This window comes from Homo sapiens, chromosome 7 (assembly GCF_000001405.40).
Source record: "Homo sapiens chromosome 7, GRCh38.p14 Primary Assembly".
In the NCBI taxonomy this organism is placed as follows: domain Eukaryota; kingdom Metazoa; phylum Chordata; class Mammalia; order Primates; family Hominidae; genus Homo; species Homo sapiens.
The window spans coordinates 114424227-114438409 of NC_000007.14; the positions used below are offsets into that span (position 1 = coordinate 114424227).

Consider the following 14183-nt stretch of genomic DNA (forward strand, 5'->3'; position numbering starts at 1 on the left):
TGTAGAATTCTTTAATTCATCCAATTGGTCCTGAGATTTACTACACAAAGGTTAGTAGTAAATGCTGCACCTGTCTGCTACACTGGAAAATATAGTGTTTTATTTTTATTCCTTGTGTTGCTAACTCCATCCAGAAACAATAAATATTTCAAATAACTTAGGTGATGAAATAAAAACATACACATATATACACATATTCCAGACATGTTCTCAAAAGTAAAATTTAAATGCAATATGTAAAAGTTATGCCTATCTGTTTCTACAGTTGGAGAGGATTGAAATTATAATTTTCATATAACTAGTAAAGGCAATCAGACCTTTTCTCTGAATATTTTAAACATTGTGCATGTAAAATTTATGCCTAATTTGAATACTTATTAGCTGCCTAATCTCAGAAAAGAGTATTAGCTTTGTTTTTTTCTTATAAAATCCATCACTATGTATCAGTTTTAATTTATATGATTTTTTCTTTGTTAATGTTCAATAAGATGTTTAGCAAAACCTATTTGTTTATAAACACATTTCGCTCAAAAATTGTTTACTATAGTTACAGCAATTATTTCCTTTCTGCTCATGTTTTCTGTTGTTTTTTTATTATCCAAACAGCTTTAAGTTGTATATGTAATTTTTGTTACACTAACTTGCTTTGCTAGTCCAGCTATTGACGTTTTTTACTAAATCAGTATGTCTTTTTTTTTAATGGACTTGATAAGAGTAGGAAAAGTAATTTAATAATTTAGGCTTTGATGAAAATATCTGTTAAAACTATGATACTATAAACATTAATTTTAACAATTTTAATATTGGCATTCAAAAATGTCTTTTGGGTATGTCTGTGATTCTTTTTGTATTTAGTGTTTGTGTGCATCGCATTTTAAAAGATAACTGGGGAAAACATTTTCTCCATGACAGGAAGAGATAGGAAGCTTGCATTTGCTTTATAATAAATGCCTTTCAAAATTTTAAATGGACAAAGCATTAAAATATGATCAAGTTTAAAATATTGAAATCATGTAAAAAACAAATTAGATTGAGTGATAAGTTTACTGTCCTTTAGGGTAAGTCCACTGTCTGGTATTACTGTTAAAGTCACAGCACAGCCAGGTTGTTTCTGCAATTCTGTCCATAGAAGTAAAACAGAGAAGTGCATCCATTAGGTTATGGCACAGGATTCAGAGGTCTTTGAGAGCCAAAAATGATCTTTCTAAACCACAGATTCAGGATGTACTGTGAAATTCTGGTTTGTAAGAGCACATTGGTTCTTTATTTACTGCAAGGATTTCCACTGATCTTGGCAGGACATCTCATTGCTATCCTGAAAGTACAGTATATTTATGCAGTGAAAATGATAAAACATTTATTACTGTAGAGAAGGTAATATGCATAATTTATGCTGTTTTTAGCACAATCATTAGTGATATTCTTGATAGATTTTATTTCCAGCTTTCATATCTTATACATGCCTGGAAAATTAATTTTATATCTTTCATTTATTTGCCTATGTTAAAATTGAGTTTTAAGTCATCTTCAAGTGAACAGTTTGATTGCTGCTCATGCATAAGCTTAATTACTTCCCAGGAAGGACAGTATTAAATGTTTTAAATGTCAGAAAAATAAATGAATATGAGCTGTTTGATTAAAAAAATAGGCAATATCTGACGTGTTTGCAGCAGGAGCTTTTTCTTAAAATGCCTCCAAGGCAAAATTTTATTTAGTCACAAAAAAAGAAACCCATTATACTATTTATCATTGGTTGGTACCATATGATTTGTAACACCCTTACAAAATTTTAATTTTGTATGATTAGCTGTGCATCATTAAACAACAGCCTTGCATAAGATGTGCTGTAAAATTCTGACAGAATCAAGATAGTGAATATTTAAAATAAGGCTGTATAGTCATCCATGGTTGTCAAAGGTAGATAATAGGAAACAGAACAGAGTGTGCAATCATGCCTTCATTTAAACTGGTTTTATAGGTAGATTTTAAAATGTGGTCATTCATAAATGCTATTGACCATGCTATATGCATGGTATGTTACTTTGGCTGTTAAATGTAACCGCACAAAAATTGCTTATAGAAACCATAATTTCAATGATTAGCATCTGGATGAAAGCTGAATTTGTATTGCTTTCCTTGGTAAATGACTATTCAAGGCTTTTTTCTTCCCCCTCTTCTAAAGATGCTGTCTCTGTAATTGGCAGAGAGGGACATCTTGATAATGGAAGTGTGAAGGTGTAACGTGTGTTAATTGATACTTCTTAATCACTTTTAGGTATTAAGTCATGATGCAGGAATCTGCGACAGAGACAATAAGCAACAGTTCAATGAATCAAAATGGAATGAGCACTCTAAGCAGCCAATTAGATGCTGGCAGCAGAGATGGAAGATCAAGTGGTGACACCAGCTCTGAAGTAAGCACAGTAGAACTGCTGCATCTGCAACAACAGCAGGTAAGTTTTGTTTTCCTCAGTGCTTCCTTAAAACAAATAAGCTTGTTTTATTGAATATGAAAAATGTATTCATAGCAAACTGAGCATGTTGTGTTAAGCTAAAAGATGCTGAGAATTTATTATTATTTGGAACATGATTGAAGGATGAGTAAAGAGATAAGATTTTCATATTAGTTACGTCATACCAGTACCAGAGTACCCTTCAGGTGTCAGGATATTAATTAAGCTCACAGGATGATTTTTGGAAGGTCTGTAAAGCTTTGTAACAAATATTTTATAGCTTCTAGTTTACTATCTTACATTGTGCTGCAGAACGTGATACTTAGTTTTCCACCAGAGGGCCACATTACTTGATACTTGCTTATACAATGAATTTCTTCAAGTCTGAGCTAAGGTGAAAAGGACCACAAGGACTTTTCAAAAGACAGATGCTTGCCTGCGTTAGCTGCAAATATTAGCTATTAATTAGTTGAAATCTGCTGAGAGATTGTAAATCATGTAAACACTACGATCTGTTGCTTTTCTTGAAATTCATTCCAAGATATTTTGAATATACATCTTTCAATAACATTAAAGAGCACTTTTTGTGTTCTCCTAAGTGTCTCATAAAATGCAATATTCTCTTTAAATCTGGAAATGTTAACAACTACAAAATAAAGGTACACTTTTAAGTAGTCTGTTATTCATTTTATAAGAGATTACTTTTTCCTGATTTTGTAAAAAAAAAAAAAAATTCTTTTCAACCAAAAAATAGCCACTTCATTCTTCACTGACTCAAGTCTGTAGAAACAGTGACAGAGAAAAGAAAGCTTTGAAAGCATATACTTATATTAGGCCAGAATGAGTACACTTGTTTGAAAAGTTTATATTTGTTTTAAAATAAATATTATTTCTTTGTAACTCTGAATTGCACTTAAACTAAATGCCTAAAAATCATTAAAATTACATCCATTAAAATAATGATTATTGAAAAGATTGCAAATTATGTGAAATAATTCACATTTTAAGGTAGTATATAATGAGAAAAATACATCTCAAAAGTTAAAGCAAATGCCCACACTAGAGTAAAATTTAATAGATACATTATTTTAAACAATAACAGCATTAAAAAAGTTACATGGGTTGAATAATGTCTTAACCTTTAGGCATTGTTTTCAAGAATAATCTTTTATAAGAGCTACATAGTACTTTTGAATGGTTTATCTATTATTTTACAATTTTCATTTTTTTCACAGACAATAAGTATTAGAAAAACAATTTATATTTTGTTTTAACAATCATAGGAATTATATGCCTACCACAGTCCCAGGATTAGCTTATTTTACTGGTTACTTTAATAAATACAGTTTTTCAGGATAGCCCTTTTCTGCCTTTGGTGTATTCGCAGGAAATATCACACCAGTGGAATGCTACAATATTCCTCCTAATTTCCCTAAGTGAGAGTCCTAAGTATTTTTAGCCAGATTCAATTTTGCCTGCAAATCCAGTGGATTGCGTTTATAAAGCCAAGTAAAAATAGTAATTGTAAATGAACATCGCAGTTGAGTATCAGTAGATGATAGGTTATGAAAAAATGCCAAGAAATCTTTCTTTATTTTCATAGCTCCAATTGGATGTTAAATAAACAGAAAATGAGTAAAATCATAGCTATAGATTTTAGTACTCTGGAGGCATTTTGATTAGGTCTATAAGGTGTGTTTATAACCTGAGTTTGAAGTTTACTTTGTTCTATGCAGTTCATTATGTAAACCATAAACAAGAGTAAACACAAAAGTTATGCCCTTCAGATGACTGAGAAACTTCAGTCATGTATTGTATGTCTGTAGAGTGCCTTCTAAAAGTGATTTAACACAATGGGTATGGTGGGTGCCTACATAGCTACTTTAGGAAGTGTCTACAGAAATATATGTAATAATTTAATAAATAAACATGCAAAAACCTTTGTAAATATCCCTTCCCTTGGTTATGTTTTAACTATATTAATATAGTTAGGTACCTAAGGTTACTGAATTTTTTGTTCTTTCATGAATGTATTTTAGAATGGGGCTTTAAGTTCATTAAGGATTAACATATCTTTTCTATAAAATTGATGCAGTTATTGCCTTTAATTCTAACATTCGCTATATTTCAAAACTAAAAACCATAAAGCATATTTATTAAAACAAATTTCACAAGAAGTGAAAAAGTGAAATAATTGTATAAATTTATCTCTACGTGTTGTTATTTAGATGTAAAGTTTTACACAAAGAGTTAAATTACTTCTTATAATTATAATGAGCTAATCATTGTTGACCAAGATCTTTTGTTTAGAAATATGATTTAAGAGGCAGTGATGTAAACAAAGTAAAATTTTGTTTGCCGTGAACTTCTGGCAAAAATGGTCTGTTTTGGGAACATAATATTTGTCTTAATTTTTATGGCTTTTGTACTTTATAGAGGTGAGTAGTTTGACTTAAATTAGCCATGTATTTAGCATGAAGAGTTGGTGTTTGGAATGAATCGCATCAAATACTTAATGATACGTGGATAGGTGAAGTGAAAAAGGATTGATAAACTGTAACTAGCATTTATTTCTACCATTTAATTAATGAATATTGGAATATTTCTGAAAGCTAGGATATCTTTAAATTTTAAAGTTTGTGATATAATGGTAGCCACATCTCTGTTAGTATGCTCTGCTATCTTATATTTACTGAACAATTAGTTTAAAAAAAAGCCTTTTCTGGATGAATTTCTCTCTCCTTCATTCCTTTCTAATCTTCAAAAATTAGTACTAAGTAGTAGAATGTATAATATATGGACGTAGCATATTTCAGATGTTGTTTTAGATTAACTACATTGAGAAATTATTCTGCATTAGATGTAGAATTTTATTTTGATATTAGGTTTGCAGAATTAATTGTTTGTGTCACTAAGGTCAAAATAGTTGCTAAAACTTGATTGCTTTACAGGGTGGATTTGAGCTTGCATTTTGAGCATTCATTAAGTCAGATAATCTTTCTGAATGTTTTATGAGACTGTACTGCTTTGAAGGTGTTTCAGGTGATGGTGTTTAAAAACATCTGGTTAGTAGTTTCTTACTGTCAGTTCATTTATCCTTATTCATGTAAAACAGAGTATTTGAATAACCATTTAAAAGCTAGAATCCACACATTTTATTTTCAAATTGAAATTGAGAATAGCGACATTTGTGTCTTAAAAGCATATGACATTTAATAAATAACACCATTATCTGTACTTTTTATAATTTTATTTTGAAATCTTTAACCCTGATAATTTGATCAAGGAAGTGCAAAATCTTTTGAAAGACTGTTTATGTGTAAGGAAATAAATAGCCATGCTAACTCCAGCATTTAAGTCCAGCTGGTCTCATTCTATATTTTCATCTTCTGTTTCTCTGTCCTTATTGAAGTTTTATGTTGACATATGAGTAAATAATAGTTTATAACAGCCACGATAACCTCTCCTATACACATTTTTAAAATGCATAATTTATTTGCTTCCCCCTTAACTTATTTTAACTTCCTATTTGATACGAAAAGTACCGACTTTAGATTAAATTGTTTAAGCAAAAGTTTTAAATGAATTTACAAAGTATAATGAAATTACAAACGCACTTTTCAAATGAAATACCAAGAATGAAAATATGTATCAAAATATTTTCTTTTAGAAATTAATATTTAAAGTCTTACCAAGTGCACCAAAAAGAGAATATATCTTGAACAATTTATTCTCATTGATTGATTATAAATTATTAAACTGTCACATAGGCAAGATTTTAGACATTGTTTGACTAGATGATATGTCAGTTATTACATACATATTTCAGAAGGCACTGGTAAATAGTGGCAAGTTTACAACGATATAGGAAAACTTAACACTCACATCTTCACACATGACCTTTTATCACACTACAATATTAATTGATGATATTTTCCTTTTTTACAACCAAATTCCTGTCTTTGGCATATTGGATTTATTGTTCATTGTACTGTTGTTCAGAAAATTACAATTCCTGTGAAGCTGATCTGTACTATTTTGAACCAGCTGTGAACATGTGCTCAGTCTTTTTGATAACCTAGAAAGAATGTTTCTCTGATGCCAATATTTAATTTTCTCACATAAACTTATACTCGCTTAATCTCAATTGACAAGCATCTACCAAAATACTAGGTGTTTCTAGGTTAAGCACACATAAGATATTTACTTCAATACTCATGTAAAAGATCCACAACAAAATGGTAATAAGCATTTATGTAATTTGTCTCATGAATTGGGTATACTCTCGTTTCTATTAACACTTTTTTCATAGAAATGGATTTTTTAATTTATAAAAAAGGATTTAAATCTATTTACTATGCAGTGTTGTGTATCTACAGTGCATTCTTAAGTTCCATTCACTATAGGTACAAGTGGTAGCATATTCATTGTGCCTGTCTTGCATGAAAGCATTTACTGAAGAAATATGACAAGAACATGTTCAGCTAATGAGGTCGAATGGTTGTTACATTAAATTTAGGCGGTGTTTTCTATTAGGTTTTATTTATCTGTATTTGCATTCAATCCTTTCACATTTGTTATCTCTCGCCCAATTCCAGGGATGGGGCGCCTTTTCTCATTTCACAGCCAATTGTTACTGTGCGCTGACTCTGTAAGTTGCTGGTGAATGTAAAAGTGACTGCAATTAACCTGACTTTGTTGCTTGAGGAGAATTTGAGATGAGAAATCTGACAGCAAATGACAGGCATTTTTCTGGGTTTAGCACAGAAGAAAGTCTAAGTAACATTGCAAAGAGAGGCATTAGGGAGTAGGTACCTGCAAATTAAGTGGCTGACACTGTCTATTGAGAATTTAGATAGTAACGGCTGGAATTTTTATGTTAAGTTCACATTATTTTATATTCATAGCAAGCTTCCTTTTGAGCATTTCCTTTGTGACTGTGCATGATCTCATTTATTGTAATTTGTATTTTTTGGTTGATCAGAAGATGGCTGTAATTGTAATTTTTATTAAAGCACATTCTTAACATGTAAGAATGCATATATTTAGATGAAAACAATTTTATTTTTGAGAATGGATTATGTGAACTTAGATTTTAATATGATAACAGCCTACCCCTAATTCTCAGAGATATAATGTGAAATGGTGGAAAACTTTGAGCAATAATACTCATGGCAGGTGAGTATTTTTTTTAAATAATACAGTTCAATATCAGTATACTTATCTTGTCATTTATTTCTGTTGAACTGAAGGAAAGAAGTCTGACTGTACAGTCATAATTCTGTCTTGCATTAACTGGCTAGCTATGCTTTTAGCAATAGTTATTTTTACTTTCCAAAGCCTGTTGGTTATGTAGTTTGAATTACAATCTTTGCCTTCAAAAGCACACTCTATACAACTACCTCCTGCTAGTAGATAGTACCCACACAGTATGCAACATTTATTGTATTTGTCAGGTGTTTAAGAGGCCATTGGGAGTTTTAATTAATGTCAGTTAGGAAGATACATTGTTCAGTTGGAAGCAGCTTGCCAAGTTCTTCATTTTCCTATAATCCATATAGTCTACTGTCTTTAGGGAAATATGCAAAATTAAAAGTTACACTGCATGCTGTTGTCTTTACAACATTCAGCTCATCAAGCAAAACTCTCATGCAAATTTTAATTTGCCCTTGAGCATAATTTAGAAACCATAATCATTGAGGTTTTACACAGCACAGATAGGAAAAGGAGATTGGATTAATTTACACTCTCTTATTCAAATGACCTCATTACTTTTATGGTACAAACTAAGGTTTTGCAGCTGACTGTATAGGTAAAGTACTGTTAAGGGTTTAAAAAGTAATAATTTTCTAGAATTTATCTTTAAATTACATTTTTTAATATTTGGTTAAAGACATTTCTTTGGAGATCTTTAAATATCCTAAAGTTTATGTATTGATTTAGAAATGGGAAAATGTGGCATCTATTTACATTTATCAAGTTTAACTATTAGGTCTTGGGGCCTTCTATTTACTTGAAGGATCTTTTCATGAATTCTGTTTCAGAGTTAACTTTTTACTGTTTTCAGTAATCCCTAAAGAAGTGTACACTTGGCCTGACATATAGAGTTGTCGTCTACCACATGATGACACTAAAGATATATGATATGACTGACAGTGTAGTTGATGTGCGTTGTCTTCCCTAGACAAAACAGATGGTATTGTTCTATTATCATCCACAGTTATTTTAATGTACTGTGTCCATCTGTGTTAAGATATATTACATGGTTTCATGGAATTTACAGTTCACTCCTGCAGTAACTCGATTTCACTGTTTGGTCTCTAGAGAGTTTGCAAAATGTCAAGCTGTAGCTTGAAAAAGAAAAGTGAAATCTACTGGAAACTAATACTTATGACCATTTCATGCCTGATCTGCTTTGTGGTGTTGTTTAGAAGCTAGGGTGACGTTTATAATACAACAGGTAAAAGAAAAGATTGTTTAATGCATATGAAAAATTGTAACTGCTCTTATTGAGCATTTGTGTCCTAGTCCATTTAAATCCATTCAGTTAATAAAAGTATATCTGGTTCATGTTAGAGACTGAAATGTTTACATTGTTCTGGTGTTCTATTAGTTCAGAAATTAAAATGTGTCTTTTAATTTCATATCAAATAAATAAAATCTAAATTAAATTCTTTTACAAATACTTACCTGCCAAAAATCTAACACTTGCCATAGTCTTTTCCAAAGGAATATTTTTTCTCAAAATTAGTTGAAAAAAAATATTTAGGCTGTTTCTCCAAAGTTGTATCTCAGAAATATTGTTAATATTCTGAATATTTCCATTTCTCAAATATACCATCATTTAAAATATTGATTCACTTCTACAGATGGCCAAATTTTGTATTAGTTTTTATTTATCGTAGTCTTGGAAAATGTTATGAAGATGCAAGTGTACTTATTCTCTAGGTATAAGTGTGCCTTAAAATATTCTCATTGCAAAATTTCAACTAAAGTAGCTAACATTAAAACTACTGTCAAAAATACATATGTGCTTTGACTATGGATATATGTATATATGAGATCCAAGTCAGTTATTTGACAACTAAAAGCAAATAGATTTCATAGTATTAAAACTATTTGATTAAAATTTAAGTGATGATTCCTAGTTAAAAGACTGGCTTACATGAATATTAGTCATTAATTAGAAAATGATTCAGAAAATAGTGATCTGGAGCTAAAGCATATGCTACTAATTTTCTAAATTCATCTGGCAAAAGAGGAGTTAATGTAAAAAAATATAAAGTAATAGGCATGATATGGCTGCAATATATTGAAAAAAAAGTCCTTGGATCTTTGTGTTGAAATGGCTCATAAGAGACCACAAATATACTCATGTTATTACTCAACTTTGATTCAGGGAATGAACCATTATCATATTCAGGCAGTTGTATTCTTTCTCTAGTTTCTCTTTATTCACTCTCAACACTTCAATGTTATCTAGTAGATGTACTTGCTAAATAATTGTTTTTGAATAGCTTTCCAGGAAATCAAAATTTAGCTGATTGTCATTTTGAGTTCAAAATACTAAAAGAAAATGTGTTGCTTTATAAAGAAAAATAAATAAAGAGGTGAATAATTGAGATTAGTGAGAAATCCTTATTTTGGTTCTAGTTAACATAATGCCTAACTCCTAAATTTAGATTGTTTTTTGGGCTCTCATTTTCAATAGTCCATTCATAATTTTAGTATATTTCTGACCTCACGGTTTAATATATATGGGGGGGGGGGATAAGGTACAGCAATTTGGTTGATGTATTATATGTATAAATAATTAATAGTAAATTTAATATTTTTAAAGAAAAACACATGGAGAAACAAGGAATAGATATATAAATACAATTATTGAAAGAACTTTGAGGGTAGGAGTAGTAAAGAAAATTTACGCTAAAAATCTGACCAAATACTGTTGTTTTTCTAATTCTCCTTTTCTTATAGTCGAGCAGCCTGTTTCGTTAAGAAAAAAATTAGGAGGTATAAAACAGCTTTTCAGTAAAAAGCTGTATTCAACTGGTACTGTCAAATTAATACTTTCCATAAATATATATTTTCTGTATTACATGTTTTATTAAAATTTCCTGGAATGTTTTTCTGATGTATGTGCATAATCCTTGGAAATTAATTGTAATTTTATTGATGATAAAATACAAAGGCCATTCTTTCCAATTAACATATACATTTTAAGAAAAATCTTTCGTCTGTCTCTTAAAATTTCACATGGCTCATGGAGAACCCAACCATCCTCCTTGTTATAGCATATCCCAAAATGTCCCACCTTATTGCAAAACTCTGCTCAATAACTGAATCAGCTCTCTCATAATGCTTCCATAACGGAAGTTGCCTTAACTTCAATTGTGAATGTGGAATTTGGAAATTCATATCTGCTTATTCATTAGGTTCAACAACTATAAACCAATCACTTTTCACTATGATTGAAAATAAATGGTTGTTGAAAGCATTTCCCCAGCCTTCAGTACAGAAGATAGTCATGCCATGATAGAGGTAGATGTGCTTTGAGGCCTTGAAGAGGAGGGACAGACTCAGTCTAAATTGTCAAGAAAGGTTTTAGGAAGGGCATTTTAATTGTTCATGAAGAGAGAGGATCAATCGGCAGAAAAAGGGTAGAAAGAATTCTAGGTAGAAGGAAAAGGGTACACAAAGACAGGAAGGTGTAAAAAGTGCAGAATATTGAGGACCATTCAGTGTTTGGATGCACTTCATACAAAGACTATTGGGAGAGTAACTGGGAGATGAGGTTGGAATAGGTAGGCTAGATATAGATCCTGGAGGATCTTGTTTGTTGTGCTCAGAAGTTAGTTTGTTGTTTGTTTGTTTTGAGATGGAGTATTGCTCTTGTTGCCCAAGTTGGAGTGCAATGGCGTGATCTTGGCTCACTGCAACCTCTGCCTCCCAGGTTCAAGAGATCCTCCTGCCTCAGCCTCCCGAATGGCTGGGATTACAGGCACGTACCACCATACCCGGCTAATTTTTTGTATCTTTAGTAGAGACGGGGTTTCACCATGTTGGCCAGGCTTGTCTCGAGCTCCTGACCTCAGGTGATTCGCCCACCTTGGCCTCCCAAAGTTCCGGGATTACAGGCGTGAGCCATTGTGCCCGGCTGTCAGAAGTTTTGACTTTCATTCTGCAGGTGTTAGATAGCCGTTAAAGATTTTTTTTAGTGGAAAATGATGGCAGATTTATATTTTTGAAATACAAATTTACCATAGTTTGGCCTAGGTAGAGGCTGTGAAGAAAAAGAAAAGGAGAAATTAATTCAAGGTGCAAACTCAATAATACGTGTATTTCATGTACTGTGAAGCATTGGGAAAAATTTAAAAAAGCAAGGCTTGGGTTTTGAAAGGTGATTAAAAGAATCAAACTTCTTGAGTTCAATACTAATTATTGGCTATGTAGTCTTGGGCAAATCACTGAACCCAGGATTCATTTTCTTTATGAATTGGAGGTAAAAATAATTAATATAATTATTAATTTATTTTCTTTCTTGACCACCCCCTCTACTGCTATCACTCTTCGTCTTTTGTATCCCTGAGAGTAACATTTATATCTCCTTTGAAGCATCTGTCACAGTTACAATTTCATATTTATGTATGTGATTATTTCATGTGTATTCCCTGCTAGATTGGTGTCTATTCCCCGCTAGACAGTAAGTTTTATGAGGGCAAGGGCCATATCAGTTTTTGCTCAGTATTTTATTTGCTGTCTAGCAAAGTGCCTAAATAAAAATAATTAATGTAATTATTTTAGGAGTAAAATTATTGATATAAAATTCTTAGCAAATTTATTAATTTACTAAATAAGTATTTATTTAATACCTACTGTGTATTAGGCACTTTGCTAGACAGCAAATAAAATACCGAGCAAAAACTGACATGGCCCTTGCCTTCATAAAACTTAACTGTCTAGCAGGAAATGGACACCAATCTAGCAGGGAATAGACAGCAAATAATCACATACATAAATATGAAATTGTAACTGTGACAGATGCTTCAAAGGATATATAAACGTTACTTTGAGAGATACAACAGAGGAAGAGTGATGGTAGTAGAGGGGGTGGTCAAAAAAGGCTGGAGGATTTGAAGAATGAGTAGAAGTTAGCTAGATCAAAGTAAAAGTAGAGAGGGCATTTCCTTACTCTGGCTTATAATAAACATATACCTAAATGGTACCAGATAATGAGAAAATACACATTAATTATTTCGATTAGCTTAGTTTGTAATTTTATTTTCTATATCTTTTTATGGTAGTTTCTACAAATGATCCTCATATTTAGACTGATAATTAGAAGAAATAGTTTTATGAAAACTTATTCATTCTTTATTTACATTGCAGTGTTGTATGATCAGCCTTCAATTTATTGACCTTTTTAATTTAGCATTTGTCTCTCATGTGATTTTTACTGTTTGTGGACTGAGGTATTTTATTGTGGTTGATTTTTAGTATTTATTGACATATGCCACATTGTCAGTGGAAGTGATTTACGTGTGATTTAAGTGTTTCTTTATTTTCATGCACCTTTTCCAAATCTTGTGTTCTTATGAAATGCTAAATATGGCACTAAAATATACCTTTGTAGTTTGTAAGAATCTTTGTTTTATTTAGGCAGCAGGTGTTTCCCAAAGTCTTCCAAGTGTACATGGAGCAGCGCCTTAGATGATCGTTACCTCTTTTTAGTAGTTTGCTATTATCATGGAAATATTACTTTTTTCCTTTATTAAGAAACCACATTTGCAATAACCGATTGCAGTACTTCCGTGAAGTCTTTCTACCAGGCATCTTATGTAATATGGAGATAAGAATAAACCCTGTTTCACAAGACTATTGTGAGGAGTAAGTGAACATTAATAGATTAGTAGAGTGTTACACATGTAAGTGTTCAATAAAATTAACTGTAAGAATTATTACTATTTTTACTAATAATAAAAGGCTTTTTCCTCATATGGTTTTTAATAGTCAAATATGTAAGTATCCCAACCAAACTGGCTGAAGGAAGAGAGAGTACCCTTACCATCTCATTTCATGTCCTTGTAGACCGACCTGTAGAGCACCTGCACAGGCCTGCTCTGGTTGAATCTTCACTACAGACTCAGTCTGTAGGTCTGCTCAGTTCTGCTCAGTTCAGTTCAGTTCAGTTCATGGTTATTAAACACATGAACGTGACTATTCTGAATTGAGACGTGCTTTAAGTGTAAAATACACACTGGATTATGAAGACTTAGTACAAAAGGGAGAATGTAAAATATTTCAATAAATAATGTTTATAACTGATTACATTAAAGTGATATTCTGGAATATATTGGGTTAAATGAAATATATTATTTGAAACCATTTCACCTGTTTTTATTTTTTTTAATTTGTCTATTACAACATTAGAAATTAACTACATGGATCACATTTTATTTCTGCTGGAAATGATTAGTCTACAATCTAGAAGTCCGTGGAGTTAGGTTTGAGGCATTGTAGCTTCATTTGGACCTAGATTAGCTATCTTTTTCTAGTTATGTTTGGTTCTGCCTTAAATTTTATAAACAATCCAACCAAGTCTCAGAAATAGACCCCAATTCAAGTGTTTTGTTAATTCTTCTGTTCTGCAGGTCCCCTATAAAAGAGAAGGGCCTCTTGGAAAGCACTGATACACATCACCCATCAGGTGCATGTTAGCAGGTGTCATAA

At 31.6% G+C, this 14183-nt stretch overlaps 1 protein-coding gene across 8 annotated transcripts in view; it reads left to right on the forward strand.

The window, feature by feature from the left end:
• Positions 1-14183, forward strand: part of FOXP2 (forkhead box P2) — a 607439-nt gene that overhangs the window by 337900 nt on the left and 255356 nt on the right. For all 8 annotated transcript variants that reach the window (NR_033766.2, NR_033767.2, NM_148898.4 and 5 more), the window contains one exon: positions 2276-2453. Coding sequence is in view for 6 of the 8 variants with exons in the window: in NM_148898.4 (NP_683696.2) it covers positions 2286-2453 (168 nt within the window). In the remaining 2 variants the exon portion in view is untranslated. Of the gene's footprint in view, positions 1-2275; positions 2454-14183 lie in introns of those variants that run through there.